This window comes from Homo sapiens, chromosome 6, assembly GCF_000001405.40.
Source record: "Homo sapiens chromosome 6, GRCh38.p14 Primary Assembly".
Classification (NCBI taxonomy): Eukaryota; Metazoa; Chordata; class Mammalia; order Primates; family Hominidae; genus Homo; species Homo sapiens.
In genome coordinates, this window is record NC_000006.12 from 149129620 (window position 1) to 149131743 (window position 2124).

The 2124-nt window shown below is 43.2% G+C and overlaps 1 annotated feature.

Annotated features, from left to right (window-relative positions):
• Positions 1-60: a silencer, noted in NCBI's record as "silent region_17656". NCBI's record gives its function as "represses an Ori minimal core promoter by ATAC-STARR-seq in GM12878 lymphoblastoid cells {active_cell/tissue: GM12878}" and the evidence as "EXISTENCE:reporter gene assay evidence [ECO:0000049][PMID:35858748]".

Below are 2124 nucleotides of genomic sequence, written 5' to 3' on the forward strand. Positions count from 1 at the left end.
TCTTATCAGCACCTAACATCTGACCTCTGACCTCTGGCTTCAGTGCAGGGGAACTGAGAAGAGGAAGAGGTAAGGAACGCCACTGTAGCTCTTACATTTTTCATCAGCGTACTACCCCAGACATCAGAGGAGGTGAAGTACATGCCCCAGGACACCAAGGTGCAGCTTGAAGCAATTCACTGCATACTAAAAATTCTTTGATTTTGCATGTTTGCGTAAGACTACATGCTACATCTGTTTTATCACTGTAAAAAAAAAAATGATGTGTCGAACTACTCATCATTGAGCAACAGGAATTTTCAGAGCGGTGGCCGTATTTGACTCATGGCTTTGGGCACAGATGTCATGTCATGCTTGGCTGAGAGTCTGGGCTCTGGAACTAAACTGCCTGGATTCAAGTTATGTCTCTACCTCTTGCTATAACAGATACTTTGGGCAAGTTCCTAATCTTTCTGTGCCTCAGTTTCTTTATCTATATCATGGGGATAGCAGCAGTGCCTACTTCAGAGCATTGTTGAAAGAATTAGGAGTTAATATGCATCAAATACTTGGCATGTGTGTTCACTAAATGTTCATTTTTATTATTATGAGTTACTTTCTGGAACTCTACACCAGTCCCTAGATCCTACTTGAAAAGCAGTGAATGACACAGCAAAGATAAACTTGCCAGGGAAAAACCTGAACATTGATTCCTATTTCAGAAGTGTTTTTGCTGCATTTGCAAGAACCTTTCGGCATAGACTTGTATTCTAACCACATTCAAGTCAGAGTCCTGAGTTCAATACAAATGAAACATGTCTCCCCTTTTTTTTTCACCAAGCTGGCTAAGGAGTCTTGCTCCATGAAATGAATTGCTGAATAGTATAAAGAAGAGTGCACAGGGAATTGGCCCTGCAGTTTTATGTATTGACACTCTCCATACTCCCCCTTTTTTCCAAGTGGATAAACACTATGTTTCCACGATGGTGACAGTATCCATGTCCTCCGTGGCAGCTACTTTGTCGGCTCCATTAGGGAAGTCTGAAAGGTTGTGGAGAACGTCAACAGAGTTCAAATGCAGGCCTCCTGTGGCAGGCTCTTAGTTGGAATGTGGTACAACGAGAACCTTCTGAAGCTCGCCCAAGTTAAACACAGGATTTGTCACACACACGGCAAGGACATAAAACTGGTATATGGTGGTGCCTCTGGTTTTCTGAAGTGCAAGACCCTAGCCCAGCAGTTAGAGTTGGGGCCCCAGAGCTCTGCAATGGGGGTGGCTGCTTTAGTGAGTTTCCTTTTAATTGAATAGGCTTAGAAGCCAGAATCCTTTGTTGTATGCAAGAAACAGTCACCAGCTGTTTTCTGTTTCCACTAAGGGCAGGACAAGAGGAAATAAAATGGATCAAACAACACGGACAGGATTTAGCTTAGATACAAGAGAAAACATCCTGATAGTGAGGATCATTGAACAGTCAAGGAGAGTTATGTGATGAAGTAGACAATCTCCTTCCCGAATATTTTTTTTAATAAAACCCCAATATGGCTGAGGAGAAGGCTCTCTGAATCAGTGACTAGCAGCCAACAGTACTGATTTACTAACTCCTGATTTTCTGAAATATTGGTGGAGAATGAAAGGCCCTCCAAGCTAAAAAATGTACCACATTCTACCATAATCTTGGTTAATGGGCTTCTCTTTTAAAAGGTATTAAATACTGCCAAGTGATCCCATATATCAGCCATTTCTACCAGTAAATATCACCAGAATCAGATGACCTCCTAAAGCCCAATCATGATGCTTCTCCCAGGGAATGAGGTTTATTGAGCTCATGAGAAAAGGCCTGGATCCATCCTGGACCACACACTGAAGGTGGCCCTGGGTACCACAAGGAAGGGCAGCTGGGAAGTTGGAGAGGATGAAAGGGAAGCAGGAAGACCCTGCACCCCTCATCATCTTCATTATGGTTTTATCAAAGTCCCCATTGACCTGCTGGGCTGGAGAGGAATGCTGAAAATCCTCTCCAGCCCAGTTCTGGCTCCATCCTATGAGTTTCTAATGTGGGAATTAGAAGACTGTCAAGATTCCTTCTGGACTTATGCTCTGATCCTGCAATGCCTCTATTTCCCCAAAAGCCACACATTCTATCT